A 19,258-nucleotide genomic window follows, 5' to 3' on the forward strand; every position below is an offset into this window, starting at 1 on the left:
AACGATCTCCTGGTGGTGGCTGGTCAGAAATACTAATGCCACCTTGAAAGACGTACACAGCCCCTGATGGGCAAGTCTCGTGAACTCAAACTTAAAAATTTCAGTCTCCCCAGTAGTTCTATTGGGAGTAAATTCCAGCAAAGTCTTATTTGTATTTATTTGTCAAGAGGGCTTCTCTATCTCTGCTCCTGAATAGTGAAACCCCACCTCCAGGTCTACTAGTCAGCGCTCTGTTGAGTCCATTGTTATGGAATGTCCCTGTTTAACAGGGTTGCTAGGAAAGCCTGACTCACAACCTTCAACCCCATGGTTTCTATGTTCCGATGCTAAGTCCTTTATTAACCAGTTTATCCACTTGTTCTTTACTAGGCTTGACTCCTTGGGTCTCTGCTGCCAACTCTCTTGTTTTGTGTCTTGGTAGTCTTGGGGATTTTAAACATTTCACTCTTTTCTCTTACTCCTTAATCAGAGAATGGAAGTTCTCCATGGCTGTCATCAGTAACCTCTGGGTATGAAAAATTACATCAAAAGTTCCTGGCCATTCAAATGTTTTCCTGGTCTGCTATTTTGATTTTGTCTTCTACCAGTGGTAAAAAGCTTTCTGTCCTAATTCACAGTTTCAGCTTTGATGCTGAGAGTTATTTGGGAAATGCTAAGAGAGGTAGGTGGTGATGGCTAAGGTAGAAGACATGTGGCGGGGAGGTTCTAGGATGTTAGTCAGAATTTATAGCTCTCCCCTTCATCACTCTAAAATCTAGACAACTGAAATCATTCTGACTCTTCTCTCTGCTTCCAATCTCCCTCAGGCTTCACCTCCTTTTACTTTCTTAGTCACACAGCTACTAGAGTTACTCTTATAATTGAGATCACCCCAGCCTAATTCTTCCCTACCTCACCCCATTCTTCATGGTTTCCTGTGATCCACAGATTGAAGTCCAGAATGGCTTGGTGCTTTGGGGGCATTTCCAGTTTTGACTTCCATTTCTCTCAGCTATAATCCTAAATTTTTCAACTTTCTCATGATCCTCCAAATATGTTGTCTTAGCCTATTCTAGCTGCTATAACAAAAGTATCATAGACTGGGTAACTTAAACAGCAAACATTTCTTTCCCACGGTTCTGAAGGCTGAGGAGTCCAGGATTGAGGCTGCAGGTGATTTGGTGTCTGGTGAGGACCTGCTTCCTTGTTCACAGATGACCCACTGTCTTCTCACTGTGTCCTCACATGGTGGAAGGGGACAATGAGCTCCCTAAGTCCTCCTTTTTTTTTTTTTGGAGATAGAGTCTCACTCTGCTGCCCAGGCTGGAGTGCAATGGCATGATCTCGGCTCACTGAAACCTCCACCTCCCAGATCCAAGCAATTCTCTTGCCTCAGCTTCCCAAGTAGCTGGGATTACAGGTACCCACCAACACACCTGGCTAATTTTTCTGTATTTTTAATAGAGACGGGGTTTTGCCATGTTGGCTAAGCTGGTCTCAAACTCCTGACCTCAGGTGATCCACCCACCTCAACCTCCCAAAGGGCTGGGATTACAGGCATGAGCCACCGCATTCAGCCCTCAGTCCTCTTTTACAAGGACGTTAGCTCCATTCATGAGGGTTTGACCCACATGATGGAACCACTTCCCAAAGCCCCACCTCCAAATACCATTGCACTGGGAGTTAGGAACTAAATGAATTTAGAGAAGACACAAACATTTAGTGCATAACATATTTCATGCCCTTTCTTGTAAACATGATTTTCCCCTTGATGTTTTTCTGGCTGAAATTGGGAAAGAAAATAGAACTCATTTGTTGAGTCGCTACCACACTCCAGGCACTGCAACACATATCTTTACATATACATCATTCGTTTCTCACAGTAACCCTCTAAAATAGTTACTTGCAGCCCTATTTTATAAATAGGGAAACAGATGATTTAAAATATCTCATCCAGAATTGCATAATTATAAGGCTCAAGCTGGAATGAACCTGCATCTGTCAATGCCAAGGGCCACCTATTCACCCTATGCCTTCCTAATATCAATTCTTCCCAAGCTGGGCTTCCATGTCACTTTTTCCATGAATTCTCTTTCAATTTCTTCCCAGTTCATTGCTCTCATTCCCTAATTCGTAAGTAAGTATGTGTTGAGAATGTACTTTATGCCAGACACTGTGCTGGTTCCTAGGGGTAGAGGCATGAATGAGACAGAGTGGATTTCTGCCCTCCAGGAGCTTACATTCTCCTGGGGGAAATAAAGAATAAACAAGCAAACAAAGGACTAAAAAGATAAAGAATGTGTAAGTACTGTAAAAGTGATAAATAAGGCAATAGCAGACAAGAGTATCTGGGAGGGATCTATTTAACATATAAAGGATTAGAAAAGGTCTCTAAGACCTGGTATTTGAACTGTGACTTGGAAAATATGACAGAGCCAACTAAATAAGGTGCTGGAGAATGAGCACACCATGCAGCGAGAGAAGCAAGTGCAAAGGACCTGGGGCAGGAAATAGCTTTGCACATTTGATCAGCAGTTTTTCTGGGCCATTTGTGAGTGGTAGAAGATTAGCTTGAAAATTAGTAGGCACTTGGTCATGTAGAGCCATGAGGACACTTTGAGTTTTATTCTAAAAGCAATGTTAAACTTTTGAAGGATTTAAAAAATGGCTTTATGGAGGTATAATTGACATGCAATAAACAACATATTTGAAATACACAATTTGATATGTTTTGACATATTGTGTTAGGCTATTCTTGCATTGCTGTAAGTAAATACCTTAGGCTGGGTAGTGTATAAAGAAAACATGTTTATTTGGCCCACAGTTCTGCATGCCTTACATGAAGAATGGTGCTGGCATCTGCTTCTGGTGGGGCCTCAGGAAGCTTGCAATCATGGCGGAAGGGGACAGGGAACCAGTATGTCACACAGTGAGAGCGGGAGCAAGAGAGAGAGGGAGGAGGTCCCAGACTCTTTAAACAACCAGATCTCACATGTAGTAACTGAGTAAGAACTCACTCATCACCCAGGAGATGGTGCTAGGCCATTCATGAGGGTTCCACCTCCATGATCCGATCACCTCCCACGAGGCCTCACCTCCAACATTATGAATCACATTTCAACCTGCGATTTGGAGAGGACAGACATGCAAATCATCTCACACCATGAGATGACACCAAATTATACCCCCGTGAAATTATCATCATGATCAAGATAATGAGCATATCCATCATTCCCAAAAGTTTTGTCATGGTCCTCAAAACCCCACTCAAAACCCTACCTGACCCCAGCTCCAGGCAACCACTGATTTGCTTCATGTCCCTGTAAATTAGTTTCTATTTTCCAGAATCTTATGTAAATGAAATCATAAAGTATGTACTTGTGTAAGTGTGTGTGGCTTGTAGGTTTTCATAGATTCCTTTTATCAGGCTAAGCTCTCTTCTATTCTTAGTTTGCTGAGTGTTTTCATCAGGAATGGGTGCTGTATTTTATCAAGTGCTTGTTCTCTATCTTTGCAGATGATCATCTTGCTTTTTTTTTTTCTTTTTAAGACTATTAGTTGATTGTTTGGAATGTTAAACTAAACTTACATGCCTGGAATAATCCCTACTTGATCATGATTTATTATGCTTTTTATATATTGTTGAATTGAATTTGCTAAGATTTTGTTTAGAAAATTTGCATGTATGTGGTTTTTTTATTCTTGTAATATCTTTGCCTGGATTTGATGTCAAAGTAATGCTGGCCTCATAAAATGGGTTGGGAAGCATTCCTTCTCTTCCCTATTCTTTAAAAGTTTATTCTAACTGGTATTATTTCTTATTAATGTTTGGGAGACTTCACTAGGGAAGCTGCCTGAGGCTGGAGGGTTTTTTGTTAGAAGGTTTTAAACTACAAATTCAACTTTAAAAAATAGATACAGGATTATCTATTCAGGTTCTCTTTCTCTTCTTAAGCAAACATTAGTTATATGTTTTTCAGGGAATTTGCCTATTTTTCTAAGTTCTCAAATTTATTGCCATAAGGTGGTTCACAATAAGCATTTATCATCCTTTTACTTTCTGTATAATTTTTAGTGAGGTCTCATTTTTACTGATCTCTCATTTCTAATATCTTTCGTTTGCATCCCCTTCACCCCAAAAGTTGATAAGTCTGGCTGGAGGTTTATTAAATTTATTGAACTTCTCACATAACCACCCTTTGATCTCATTTATTTTCTCCACTATGTTTTCTGTTTCATATCTAATTGGATTTTGCCCTATTTTTATTATTTCATTTTTTTATTTGGAGTTTAACATGTTCTTTTCTAGTTTATTTAAGAAGAAAGCTAAGGTCTTTGATTTGAGGCCCATCTTTAGGTCTTCCACTCCAGCTGGTGGAAACAGGAATGATTCCCAGTCTCATGTGAATTCTAAAGAATTGTTCCCTCTAGGGGCGGGGCCTGGTGGCTCACGCCTGTAATCCCAGCACTTTGGGAGGCCGAGGTGGGCGGATCATGAGGTCCCGAGATTGAGACCATCCTGGCTAACACGGTGAAACCCCATCTCTACTAAAAAACAAAAAATTAGCAGGGCGTGATGGCAGGAGCCTGTAGTCCCAGCTACTCTGGAGGCTGAGGCAGGAGAATGGCATGAACCTGGGAGGCAGAGCTTGCAGTGAGCCGAGATTGCACCACTGCACTCCAGCCTGAGCAACAGAGCGAGACTCCGCCTCAAAAAAAAAAAGAATTGTTCCCTCTAATCTTTTCAAGTAGTTCTTTCCCTGGCCTCTGTTTCCTCACAGATATGCATTGGGCAGCACTCAGCACAAGACTTGAGGGGACCCTGTGTAGGTCTCAGGAGCTGTCTTGCAGCTCTCTCTTCTCCAGCGTTCTCCCCTGAATCCCACAACTCTGACTTCCTTGGCCTCCCAGACTACTAGTATTGTCTCCTCAGCTCCACAAGGCCACCAAGCCCTGCCTGGTTTCCCTAGAAATTCTCTTCAGACCAGGCGCGGTGGCTGGAGCCTGTAATCCCAGCACTTTGGGAGGCTGAGGCGGGCGGATCACCTGAGGTCGGGAGTTCGAGACCAGCCTGACCAACATGGAGAAACCCCGTCTCTACTAAAAATACAAAATTAGCTGGGTGTGGTGGCACATGCCTGTAATCCCAGCTACTTGGGAGGCTGAGGCAGGAGAATCGCTTGAATCCGGGAGGTGGAGGTTGCGGTGAGTCTAGATCGCACCATTGCACTCCAGCCTGGGAAACAAGAGCGAAACTCCGTCTCCAAAAAAACAAAAACAAAACAAATTCTCTTGGGGCAGTAGCTGGGGCAATCGAAGGACTCTTCCTTTGTTTTGAATCTCGGTTGAATGTTTTGTATACCATTGTTTTATACTCTTTGTGTAGTGTTTTAGTTATTTCATACTAGAGCATAAGGCTAGTCCCTGTTATTCCGACGCTATCAAAAATGGAAGTTTCATCCTTTTGGGGGATTTCAAGTGGAGGAGTGGTGTTATATCATCCAAGGGTTAAGAAGATCACTCTTCTGCTGTTCCATCTGAAAGCAGATGGGAAGTGGAGGACAGGTCTGCTATTGTAGGAATGCAGGCAGGAAGTGCTAGGAATTGAAGAGGGATTTTTTTTTTCAAGGGCCACGGGGGCAGAGGGTGGCTCCAGATCCACTTGGAGGTGGAACCCAGAGAACTGGCTGATAAACTGGATGTGGAGTGGGTCGGGGGGAAAGGGAGTTAAAGCTACCTCCTGGGTGTTTCCTAGAACAACTGGGCCAATGGGGAAAGCCAGGGAAGGAAGTGGGCATTGTGGACAGGCGGAGATCAGGAGTTACAGTTTGGATATAAGCTTGAGATGTCTTTTTAATCAGTCACATGGATCTAGTCAAACAGGAAGAGGGCTATAAGAAGGTAGAGCTCCAGGGAGGAGTCAGAGTTGGAGACAGAAAAACGGAGTCATCAGTATAGAATTATTCAAAGCTCTGGGCCTGGAGGAGATCACCCAGGGGAACAGTGTAGACAGAGGAGAAAAGAAGGCCTAGACTGAGTCCGTGGGACCTTCAGCATCTAGATGTCAGGAGAGCAGGAAGAGCTGAGAAGGAGTTGGAGAAGAGGCACCTGTCTTCCCAGGAGACTCAATTCCTTTATTTAACCATGTGTTTTTCAGTTTTATAATTACCTGTTTATCCACCTGTCGCTCAACTTGCCTGGGAGCCCTTGAGGTCGGATGCCCTGTCTTATTTTGCATTGCCCACATCTAACACGGTGTCTGGCACCTAGATGGACCTTGAATGAATGAATGGATGAATGAATGAATGAATGAATGAAGACTAAGGGAGTTAAAAGATTACTGGTATGAGGTCAAAAGGACAGAGCTTTTTTGTAGTCCAAGGGACTGCAAAAGACAATTCTGGGAAAGTTGAGCTCAGAAAAAAAAAAATCTAACAGTCCAGAAACATTTTCCTGAGTGCCAGTTTCCTGATCTGTCAACTAAAACGTCCCGGAGAAGTGATCTTTAGAGTTACTTCTGTTTACATGCTGCACACAGACGGGAACGCTCCATTTGGCTTTCTCTGCAGAGTCCACAAGGAGACAAAACAATGTGTTAAAGTTGCGCTTCCTTGGTTGATGTTTCTATTCTTTTGGTCTTTTGTCTGTTTTCAAACAGATCAAAGCACGTCTTGTGAAATGTTCTGGCCCCAGAGTAGAATTTAAGATGCACAAAGGGCATGAGTAGACATTAATAAAAAACTCATTTTGACCCTTTCGAACTGGCGGCCACCATGGAGGTCAGAAGAGGGCAGGTGTATTCCTGCCAGCCCCCTAGAGACATAAAGATGTCTGCCCCGAGGAATCAGGCTAGGGATTAGTGACAGGCTCCATGCCTGCCCCCTGCCACACTGGACAGCCAAACCTCCTTCTCTTGACTTACAGGACTGGCAAAGACAGTGACAGGGGCCTGGCCGTGGAGCCTGGCTGAAATCCGGGCCCCAGTGAAAGCCCCACAGAGAGCTGCAGAGAAAGGCAACCTTCAGAGGCTGACTTTGATATTTACACTTCCCCAATTTCTACGGAGAGCCGTGGTCTCGTGTTTTACACATTCAGCAATTGCACAGGCCCTGAAAGGTTTTAACTGTCCGGTTGAAACTATAATAAAGTTTACTGTGGTTAAAACCTGAAATGAGTCTGAGTTTGGATTTTTCAGCCCAGTGGCTTCGTGTAAACAGTTTACTTAACGTCGTTTTTGGCTCTTATTCAATAAACCACCATGATAATCCCGTTCACAGACAAAACAGATCACGGATTAGCAGACAGGCTGCTGTAACAAAAGCAGCGCATTACCTGCTCTTTGTGCAAAAGGTAGAGCTCCGTTTTGCAGAAAGTATTCGTCTATCTTTGTTTTCATAGTTGAAGAGAAGGAACGTTACATTGTTTAGCTCCTTTTTGTACCACAAAAATAGATTTTAATTAAGCACATAAAGTGAGCCGGGCTTGGAGCTGTTATTTTCCAGAGAAGGCATACTGGCTTTATTCAAATTGGAAGAGACCCCAGGCAAATGCCAAAATCACCTATTGCTTACATTTCATTTTAATGTGCTCAAGTTCAATAAAAGTTTATCATCTCCATTAAACCAGTACCTATTGGAACTGATTTAATCTTGTTAGCACAAAGAACCACATGAAAGAAACCAAGACCCCAGGACAAGACTGTACATAGCACAGTTGCGCCGGGGTAGAAATTACATAAAAGAAATGAAGCATCCACCGATGACAGAGTGCCTCACCTGCTCTTATGTGTGTGCGCTTGCTCGTGTGTGTGCGGAGTGTACTTGTGTGCACGGATCCACACACCCTGCAGTGCAGGTCTCTGGCCGTCTGCCACAGTGCAGCATGCTGGGGAGGCTGCCAAGTGCGGGAGTCCTCAGCTGCTCAGTGTCACAGCACCGCCACGCTCCCACACGGACCCTGAATTGTGTGACATTTGAACAAACACATGTCACGTGTAGGGGTGCTGGTCAAATGTCTACTGGCAACAGCACAATGAGGACATATATCTTGATTCTAGCCCCAGAGAGCACACACACTCACACACTGTCACACTCACTCACACACACAAACACAGGCCTTTCTTTACCGGGAAGAGTCAGTTTGCTCTCCGCCTTCAGTATTCTCTTTTCTGTCAACTAGAAAGCCTCCAAGAGCTCATGGCTAGACATGAGTGGGGTCCAAGAATTCAGGGGTGTTAGATCTTTGATTCAAGGTGTGGCTTGACATTAGGACTTGGTCACAGGGGACATAAATGACAAGTTGGTGGCACCCACAGGTGTGTGCTTACCTGAGACGGATGCAATGAGGAGGTGGATTTAGTGGATGATATCAGGGGCTGCAGGCAGAAGCTGAAGGATCCATTTCCTTAAAAGACTCAGCACTAAGGCACGAGTGGGATTTCTTAGGACTCCCAGTGAGAAAAGCGCTGAATGGAAGAAGTGATTTTCCCCAGTTCTGTGCCTGTAACTAACTCAGTGGCATCTGCAGGAAGCACAGCCTCATGTTGGCACCTCAGTGGCTTATAGCTTTGGGAACAGAGGGTTACTGTCGCTCTCAGCCTGTCGTAGCTACAGAGACAGTGGTGGGGCCCAGCTTTGAAAGTGACTTGGCAAGGAACAGAGCCTGGAGTGGAAGAACATGCCGTGGCACTTTTGGGATGGCTGTGAGACTCTCTGAGGATCTCCTGAAAATACGTGGTTAAAGTTTGAGTGGGAGATTGGAGGCCTTTCTTATACGGGGTGGCATGAGCCACTGAGGACTGAGGGAATGTGAATTATGGTCCTCTGCCTCCATGACTCAGTTATTGAAGGGAATTTATATATCTTCTATGGAGTGCCAGACACCCTAGTAGACCTGTATCAGCCAGCTCGGACTGCTATGCCATAATGCCACAGACTGGGTGGCTCAAACAACAGAAATTTATTTCTCAGCATTGTGGAGACTGAGAAGTCCAAGATCAAAGTTTTGGCAAGGCAGGTTTTATTCTGCAGACTCTTCTCTTGGCTTGTAGACAACCACCTATTGCTGTGTCCTCGTATGGTGAAGAAAGAGAGAGAGAGCAAGAGAGCTCTCTGGTGTCTCTTCTTATAAGGGCACTAATTTCATCATGAGGGCCCCACCCTCCTGACCTCACTTAGCCTCAAGGCCCCATTTATCTCCCAAAGGCCTCATTTCCAAATACCATCACATTGGGGGTTAAAGCTTCAACATATTAATTTTGGGAGATCACATGCATCTAGTCCATAAAAAGACTCTGTGGGAGGCAATGGACCTTCAAGATGCTTACACAACAGCCAGGAAGAAAGGACCAAAACCTACCCTGCAGAGGTCAGCTGGCTGCAGCCTGCTTCTCCCCTCTCTCACGTTAGCTCAGAGAGCACCGCTCAAGTTGCCTCGTGTGTGTTTCTCAAACATGCTAAGTTCACCTGCTGTTCTTCCATCCTGGAATGACCTTGTGCTCTTCTAAGTATGGCTGGCTTTCTTAGCCCTTGGCTGGTGGTCACCTCTTCACAGAGGGCTCTGTCACATCCCATGGAAACTTCCCTCTAGGCCCCAGTTGCTCTCAATTACCTAACCCTGTTTTATTTTCCCAATACATCCAAAACTAGTTAAAGGTATTTTGTGTATTTGTTTCCTTGTTTATCATTGAGATGTCCCCTGTCCTTGGTACTATGGACTCCATGACAGTAGGGACCTAATCTCTCAAGATCATTTGTGTGTACCCCAAAACTAGGAGAGTATCTGGACATAGTAGGTATTCAATATGTATGTGTTGATGAATCATAAATGCCATAGAGAGGGTGAAAATAATATTTTGTGGGCATCTGAGGTGGGTCTTGAAGGATGGGAAGGATTTTGACAAATGAACATTTTGAGTGAGGAGGGAAGGCAACCCATCCTTTAGCTTTGGAAGGACCACATTTAGATTAAACTTTTTTTTTAGTGCAAACTCATAAGCTTATTTAGAAAGAGCTCTTTAATGGTCTTATTTAGCGTATCAGAACTTAGACCATCGGAAGTTCTTTTTGAAGTCTGACCTAAAAGCTGAACTTCTTCCTTCACTCATTTCAGCCCACCTTTATCTCCCATTCAGTAGAAACGCTACAAACTCTACTCATCATCCATTCTAAATCTTCACATTTGGAAAAACAGACTCTGCAAGTGAAAACCAGTAATGCTTGTATTTTCAATGTCATCTTTTCTTTAAAATGATGTTAAATGATTCTAGGAGTGCAGATTTGTGTTTTAGGTGTATGGATGGTTCCGGATATCTGTTAGGTATACTCTCTGGGTTTTCATGGGATGAGAGATAGTAAGAAAAGTATAGCAAGAAAGCTTTGGAAAGAGCCATTTCCCTAGGTATTGTGTTTGCAAGCATCATAACCTCATTCCTGAGGGCACAGGCACTGTATCTGAAAGCTTTGCTGTGCAGACATCCATTCAGCAAACATTTAATGGCAATGTCCAGGGGCCAGGCGTTGCACTTGGTGCTGTCTCATGCATATAGGTGAATGAGACATGGTCCCACAAGCAGGGCAGGCGATGTGAGATCAGAGTCCTGTGGGTGGTGCGCAAGTGCGTAGAATGATACATACAAAGGTGGAACAAGAAGGTTGCAAAGGAGTGCCAAATAGTATCCTCAGAGAAGCTCCTTTTCAGGATGCACTAGAACATCAGATTCAAGTTAAGTCTAGGGCACACCATGTCTGAACCAGGGCCTTCTAAAACTCATAAGGATAATATCATAGGGACAACTGCCACTCTCCTGCCAGGCATAGTGGCTGCTCAAGCAGAACAGGAGGTGCCCACTGTCTCTGCAAAACTCACCCCAGCATTTCCCTAGGGCCATGCTCCTGAGGTCCCGTTGTTGGGTTAAGGTCTGGTCTGCTCCTCTCAGCATACAGACAACATAAATTCAGGTTCAAAAGCAGGACAGCAGCTAAGAAGAGAGCTGACTTTGAAGTTTAGAGCCTTAGGTTGAAGGGAATTCTCTTGGCCGAGTTACAAAGAGAATAAAATGCTGTCATAAGGAGAGTAGCTTTAGATTTTCACTTTATCTTCAAAATAAAAGATTAGGGACACAATTCTGGTTGAGATGGTTAAGTAGGTGCCTGTATAATTGAATTTCATGCTCATTATTTCTCTCTGAAGTGGTGTACACAAGCAGTCATTGGAAAGCAGGTTTAGCAAATATATTGGTCAGGGCTTTGCTGAACTTTCCAGCTTTCCAAAATGTCCAAGTTCCTTCAGTCTTCTTCATGTGCCGTGCGAGATGTACAAGACGACACTGATGGAGCCGGTGAGCCAGGCAGTTTCAAGACAAGCTTCTCTTCCATTAGCAAACTTGTCATAGGATTGGAAAGTTTTCTTTTTTTCCACAAGATTAGACATGGTCCAAAGAATACTTTATGCCGCTTTGGATCAGCAATCTGCCTGCACCTTTGACATCTCATAATTGAGGTATATGTCAGAGTCCAAAGTAAGAATACATGAAAGCTCTGTGTATGATACTATCATGGTGGGTTCATGTGGTTATACCCTTGTCCAAACCCATAAGATGAACAGCACTAAGAGTGAGCCCTAATGTTAACTATGGACTTTGGGCAATAATGATGTGTCAATGTGCGTTCATCAGTCATAACAAGTGTAGCACTGTGGGAGAATGTTCATAATCGGGGAGGCTGTGTATGTTTGGAGCAGGGCATATATGGGAAATCTCTGCATCTTCCTCTCAATGGTGCTGTGAAACTAAGACTGCTCCAAAACATAAATTTTTTTTAAAAAAAGAAATATACCAAAGGCGTAGTTGTGATGAAAAGTGAGGGAGTTGGCCTTCAGTGTCCCCTACAGGGAACCCTTGTTTCCTCTTTGCTACTCAAAGGTTTTTTTTTTTTTTTTAAATGATGCCTAAATGAGGTAGTTCAATGCAATTGATCGAATTGCCTGTAGTGAAAATCCAGGATTCAGTGGGGAAAAATTCTCAGCTCCTTGGAAATGACCACATTAAGCAGTTGGCCCTCTGGATCTGTAGCTTCTTCATCTGCCAATTCAACCAATCCCTCGAAAATATTTAAAAAATAATGCAACAATAAAAAATAACCCAAATACAAATAAACACAATACATACAGTATAACAACTATTTACGCAGCATTTATATTGTATTAGATGTTATAAATAATCTAGAGATGATTTAAAGTATACTGGAAGATGTGCCTAGGTTATATGCAAATAGTACACCATTTTATATAAGGGACCTGAGCATCTGTGGATTTTGGTATCTTCAGGAGGTCCTGGAACCAATCCTCCATAGATACGAAGGATGGCTATATTAATGAAAGCTTGATTTGGAGCAAATATTGTCTATGGATCCCATGGGATGGGGCCCCTCCTAGGGTGACAGAAGAGTGGCTTCTTACTTGGACCCTGCTGGGTTCACAATCAATTTGGTGACAAGCGTCACAGGCACATCTTTCCTCCCAGAGACTCCAAATGCAGCATGTTGGTAGGGCTCATCCTCATATTTTCTGTTGGAGCGAGATAAGAATTTGGTTCTCGTGTATTGACTGCAGGATTCTGAGTCTTCTGGGAAACAGAGGAATGGAGGGACCAACCTTTCCTGAGCACTTACAATATGCCACTCCCTGCTGTATAATGGGGGGGATGGGAAGAAGATGTCCCCAAGCCCCCTGGTCCCCCGTAGAAGGGATGAGGGGAAGATCCACGTACGTTCTCTGAGAGAGGTAGATGACACCATCCGTACCAGCACTTCTGGAACTTTCTCTAGAGAAATACCAGGTGGGTTTTGTTGTTGTTGTTTTATGTTTTTGCTTTTTCCTTCCCCATATTGTCACACACCTGTATTTTGGTCCATATCCTGTTCAATGAGACAGGTTCAAGGATCACGTGCTTGGGTGTTGCAGCAACGTCAAGCTGCTAAAAAGGTTTCAGGGTTTTTTTGTTTGTTTTGTTTGTTTTTTTGAGATGGAGTCTCTCAGTCTTTCACGCAGGCTGGAGTGCAGGGGCATGATCTCAGCTCACTGCAACCTCCACCTCCCGGGTTCAAGTGATTCTCCTGCCTCAGCCTCCTGACTAATGGATTACAGGTGCGTGCCACCACGCCCGGCTAATTTTCGTATTTTTAGTAGAGACAGGGTTTCGCCATGTTGGTTGTTGGTCTCGAACTTCTGACCTTGAGATCTGCCCGCCTCGGCCTCCGAAAGTGCTGGGATTACAGGTGTGAGCCACCGCGCCCAGCCCAGTTTTTTTGTTTGTTTGTTTGTTTGTTTGTTTGTTTTTAAATAGACTGTGGATCCCTCTGTCACCCAGGCTGGAGTGCAGTGGTGGGATCATAGCTCACTACAGCTTTGAACTCCTGGGCTCAAGTGATCATCTAGCATCAGCCTCCAAGTAGCTGGGAGTATAGGTACTCACCACCATGCCTGACAGCTTTCAGTTAACATGCTTCCTTCGGCATGGCCAGTGATGCACAGTGCACGGCTCAGCACCAGTCTGTGCAGCACGCGTCATCTTTGGGCAGCAAGAGGTGCGTGACCATCAGAGAAGATAAGTAACCTGCCCAGGGTCATGCAGCAGGTAAGACCTGAATGTCCACTGTAGGTCAGAATAACTCCAGCACCTATGCTGTAGGCCTAGAAACTGCCAAAAAGGCTGTGAAAATAATTCTGCCAAAGTTACTAGATTTCAAATGAATTATCTATGGAAAGAGAATGGAAGGAAGGATAACCTCTTACTTCTCTCAACTGTACTGTCCTGATTCTAGTCAAAGTAATTAGGCCTCTTCCTCTCATCCCTTCCACAGGGGACCAGAGGACTTGGGGACATCCTCTTCTTATCCTATCCTCTGCTGCAGCTGGCCCTTACTCACCCCTTCCCTTTAACTCCCTCAGCATAGAACAAGGAATTCCAAAGTCGGGGCAGAGCGGCATCAGAACGACGAAATAAATCATAGTGTCCAAAGAACTCTCAGGAATCTAAACATAGCAAAATTATTATGTTTAATGTAAAAATTGAACTTAAAATAATTCTGCTCTGTGTTTAATAACAACAGGTATGGCTAAACTAAGCCAAGTCAGCTAGGTCCTCCCGGCCAGGCAGGCTGTCTTCTCTTAGCAAAAAGATAAAGCAAATGAGAGCTCTTGAAGGTTAATAGACTCTATCACCTCCTAAAGAATGCAAACTGTATAAATATTCAGGTTTTAAAATAAAATCCCCCAAAGCCAGCCTTGCAAAATGAGGTCAGCTTGGTCTGGCTCGGCCTGTTGGCTTGCCTTTCAGCTGCACGGTGGTGTGTCTTGTGACCAGAACATCCGTGACATATAGATACAGTCTTTGCCTCCACGTTGTATATTGAAACTGTGAAAGTAGAACTCCCATAGCTCAAGTTTATAGAAATACGTGACAATGTTTGAAGTAGCTTAGCTGAGACTAAAACAGTCTGACATCACAGCCTTGGGGAGGATGATGGAAATTTCTTAATTTCTTTGAAAAATTTAAAAAACACAGACACATTCTTTTCAGGTACTTGATTGGCCACCCAAGTTTTCTTTTCTGGTTTTAGAAAATCACACAGAAATACAGAGACTCTGCACAAGGCATCCCCCATTCTAAATCTCCTGTGTTTCACAAGGCATCTTGGTGTCATTCTGTGTATCAGACTGTGCTGGCTTTTCTCCATTTACCCAATGGATCCATTTACCCCGTGGATCCATTCTCTTTCTTTCTGCTCCCTGGAAGACTGATTCCGATGGATTGCATCACTTGGGCTCCCCTCACCTCTGACTTTCCACTGGATTTGACCGATGGGAGCCATAAGCAAGAGACAGGAGGTAAAGAGGGGAAGAGACAGGTCACCTTACAGGTGGTGCCTCTTCCATACCTCCACCTTCTTCATCCTCTCCCACACAATTCCCTCCCATTGTCCCTTTTGGTCAAGAGATGTTAACGGCTTCTCACTGTTGCTGGTCTCCAGGTGACTCACCTTCTCCATCTCCATTTTTTTTTTTTTTTTGAGACGGAGTCTCGCTCTGTCGCCCAGGCTGGAGTGCAGTGGCGCGATCTCAGCTCACTGCAAGCTCCACCTCCCGGATTCACACCATTCTCCTGCCTCAGCCTCCCAAGTAGCTGGGACTACAGGCGTCCGCCACCATGCCCAGCTAATTTTTTGTACTTTTTTAGTAGAGACGGGGTTTCACCATGTTAGCCAGGATGGTCTCGATCTCCTGACCTTGTGATCCACCTGCCTCAGCCTCCCAAAGTGCTGGGATTACAGGCGTGAGCCACCGCTCCATCTCTTAATCCCGCTGATGGTCCCATCTGTTTCCTATTGGTATGTGGGGTGCTATGCAGACTTATCCCTTAGCTTTAAGTTCCTGGTCAAGAGCTTCTGTTTCCTCATCTTAATTTGGTATTCTCATACTATTCTCATCCTACAATATATTGATTGTGCTGAGGATAAATGAGGCAAGCTTATGTCATTAAGATCAAAACCAACATTTCTTCCTGTCTCTTAAGCTTTTTTTTTTTTTTTTGCATTTTGCTTCCTGTCATCTGTTGATGATGGAAGAAAACAGTGCTTTCTTATTTTTTTTCCTGTTTCTGAAATAATCTACCTTTAATCATCATCTCATTTTTTTAGCAAAGTCGGACATTTACAATCTATATTTTCCATGTTTCAGATCATTCTGTATGTGCGTATCTATACCTGTTTTTGAGTTTTTATTGCCACTGCTTATGTTGGGAGGATTTAGGCAGCCCTTTTCAGTTAAAAGTGAGCTCTTTGGGGAAAGCGATGTCTTCCATCGTTTTCCTCTTCATCTTCTTACAACTATCTTCACTTCTCTCTTCTGGTCAACTTAACATATGGGAATAATGGGAAGTTAATGGGTCCTCATGGCAGTGAGACAGGGGGCCTTGAGTCTATAATCATCTCTGAACCCACGGTGGTCTCTGCCCTGGCTTGACTGATCTGGTCTAATCCCTGGGCACTCACATCCATGTCTACTCACACAGTCCAAGCCCATCTGGCCTTTTGCAACAGCATGCTCACATTGACTATTGATATCTTGCTCCTCAACTTTGCTCTTGAAGGTTTTGTATTCTGTTCTGGCCCCTCTGTTAATAATCCACTGGTATTTCCAGCCTCTTTATACCCACTCATTCACAAGAGCTTCTAAGACACTCTAAATCTCCTCCACACCACATATCAAGTATGGAAGACCCAAAGTCTACCTCCAAGCCCCTTGCATAGATGCCCACCTCAGCTCCTGGGCTCCACGTTGCTCTGGCACCCAGTTAAGTATGAAGCATTTTAAATGAGGCTTAAAATGGTCCTAGTATGTGGCCAGAGAAGTGAGGAACAAACTGCCCTGCTCTGGAATTCCCCTCAAAATTCACCTTTTTTTCCCCTATTAATTCTTTGATGATCATTTTAAACTCAAGAGGATGGTCGTGACTCATATGTCTGACTTTTTGTTCCTCTCCTTCCCTGTACTCCTTCCACCTGCAGCTGTACACCCTTTCTTCACTTCCTCCTTAGACAGAGCGGGTACTTCTCGCACAGAGTATTGAGTTTTATCTACTCATGAATTATAGCAAAACTTGATATTTGAATCTCCAAACTCTGCCTTTAAAATGTCAGAGGAACTTTTGGCAGTTTGTAATCTTTTTTGTTTCTTAACAAAGACTAGTTTTCAAGACTCTCATTTCTCCAGGAAGAAGAACTTATAGCTGGAGGCCTCCTATGTTTCTTAGTTCTTTCTCTGCCTTTCTTCTTTTCTCTACTTCTTTCAACAAATATTGATTGAATGCCCACTATTTCCTCTCCAAGCCTGTTTTAGTTGGAGTAGAGAATAGTGTTCATTCATTGTAAAATTTTGAAAGTGGACTTACATGTACGTTAGCTGTGTTCTGCTAGGAAGAACAAGACTAGGATAAAAAAATACTGTCAGGCTGTTTAGTAGAACTTTTTTTTTTTCTCCCTCTCTCTTTCATAAGAGCCAGATTCTGTGTTTAATTTAACTACAACTTATAGTCACTGTCTTGCCCCTAAATTGGATTTTGATTGCTATGGTTATTTAGCTAGTTGGTTAGAGGCCAAAGTCATAGTTTTCATTCAAGTCTAAATTGAGCCTGTAAATGTTTTCATTACATTATAGACACACAGATTTTAAAAACGTTTAGGTCCAAGAAAAGAGAAAAAATAATTATTAAAATCTGCTGGGGGAAAAATATTGTAAATACAGGATGTGATGACAGTCACTTGGTGTGTCGTTGTCAGAGAGTGGACAGTACTGCTGTCATCTTGATAGCAAACCCATAGTATATATCCCCTTCTCTTCTTCCTGTGGGCACCTCTGGGGCTCAGCCCCTCAACCCCTTGCTTGTCTTCATGACAGCAGCCTCCTAACTTCTCCCTTAACCAGCCTCCAGTCATTCCCCACCAATCTATATTCTGTTGAGCAACCAGAATCATCTGGGGAGAAGGATGAGCCTAATTTTAGAATTTAGCTTGGACCTTATAAGTAGTCATTTTACAACTCAAACCACATTTTTGAAGCTAAGAGTTTGCTATTAAGAGATATGAGACTCAGCAAGGGACCATTGTCTACTCCTTGCCAGTCTCCAGGAATACAATATAAAAGGGAATGAGAAAAAGGATAAGCAAAGGACCGTATCAATTCTGTGCAACAGTGGAAAGTACTAACTCCATTGTGAGTGGTATAGCCTTGCAAACTTAGAAGGGGATGGGAAAATAGCTCTTCTCCACCTTTGGAATAAGAGTAAGGCTAAAAAACTCACCCACTTGCAGAGGACAGGTAGGTAAAGTCAACGCGCATTGCAGGCTGTTTTCAGATGAAAAGGAGTGGCTGAGACCATGGCATGCTGCAGAGAGCCTGGCTTACGCAAAGGGGCTGCCACTGCTTAGCTCCAGGACAATCAACATTTTTCATTTTTTTCTGAGGCATCTGGAAATCTAGATTTTCACGTGCAATTTTATAACTTTTTCATGCAAACTGTGTGTTGGATTTGGCCAAGGGACTTCCAGTTTGTGATTTCTGGTTTCGACTGTAATATATCTGAAAGTTAATGCTTGTTCTTGGGAGCTGGTGCTAGTTTGTGATGGTAGTAGTGGTGGTAACGTATGTGATTAAATAGTTACTTTCTGGAGGCCGGGCTCGGTGGCTCATGTTTGTAATCCCAGCACTTTGGGAGGCCGAGGCGGGCAGATCACGAGGTCAGGAGATCGAGACCATCCTGGCTAACACGGTGAAACCCCGTCTCTACTAAAAATACAGAAAATTAGCCAGGCGTGACGGCGGGCACCTGTAGTCCCAGCTACTTGGGAGGCTGAGGCAGGAGAATGGCGTGAACCCGGGAGGCGGAGCTTGCAGTGAGCCAAGATCGCGCCACTGCACTCCAGCCTGGGGGGCAGAGCGAGACTCCATCTCAAAAAAAAAAAAAAAAAGTTACTTTCTAGATAATTAGAGGATGAAAAGAAAGTCTGTGAGTCATCTTGCAAATGAAAGGGCTAGAGATGCTTCCTTTATCTCCAGCTGCTCCTTCTTGATTATTATTATTATTATTATTATTAGTTTTATTATTATTGAGACAGAGTCTCGCTCTGTCACCCAGGCTGGAGTGCAGTAGCCGAATCTTGGCTCACTGCAACCTCCGCCTCCTGGGTCCAAGCTATTCTCCTGCCTCAGCCTTCTGAGTAGCTGGGACTACAGGCACGTGCCACCACGCCTGGCTAATTTTTGTATTTTTAGTAGAGGTGTGGTTTCGCCATTTTGGCCAGGCTGGTCTTGAACTCCTGACCTCAGGTGGTTCACATGCCTCAGCCTCCCAAAGTTTCAGCTGCTCCTTCTGAAGTGCCCTTCACCCTTGCCCATCCCCTCCTCCATATGCATACGCATAAGAACAGACTATTCTGCAGGACTGGAAGTGTCAAGGCTTTGAAATGTTTGCTTCCATCCCCTGGAGCCTTTTGTAGCTTGAGTAACTTAGATTTGAAGACAAGTGCTGCTGGGGAACAGGCCATGACTTTTGGCATATGACCAGTCTGGGTGGATATGGGGTGGTGTATCTAGAAAGCTTGATATAAAGGCTCACAGTGGAGATTTGAGTACAGATTTATTTTTTTCTGAGAAAGGTAAACATGAAGTTTGAGAAGCAAGGGGAGGAAATGGAACTTTAGGAAGCATTTCGTATGGGTTATGA

The 19,258-nt window shown here is 43.8% G+C and overlaps 1 annotated feature.

Annotated features, from left to right (window-relative positions):
• Positions 16,167-16,616: an enhancer, noted in NCBI's record as "active region_11736". NCBI's record gives its function as "activates an Ori minimal core promoter by ATAC-STARR-seq in GM12878 lymphoblastoid cells {active_cell/tissue: GM12878}" and the evidence as "EXISTENCE:reporter gene assay evidence [ECO:0000049][PMID:35858748]".

This window comes from Homo sapiens, chromosome 17, assembly GCF_000001405.40.
Source record: "Homo sapiens chromosome 17, GRCh38.p14 Primary Assembly".
Classification (NCBI taxonomy): domain Eukaryota; kingdom Metazoa; phylum Chordata; class Mammalia; order Primates; family Hominidae; genus Homo; species Homo sapiens.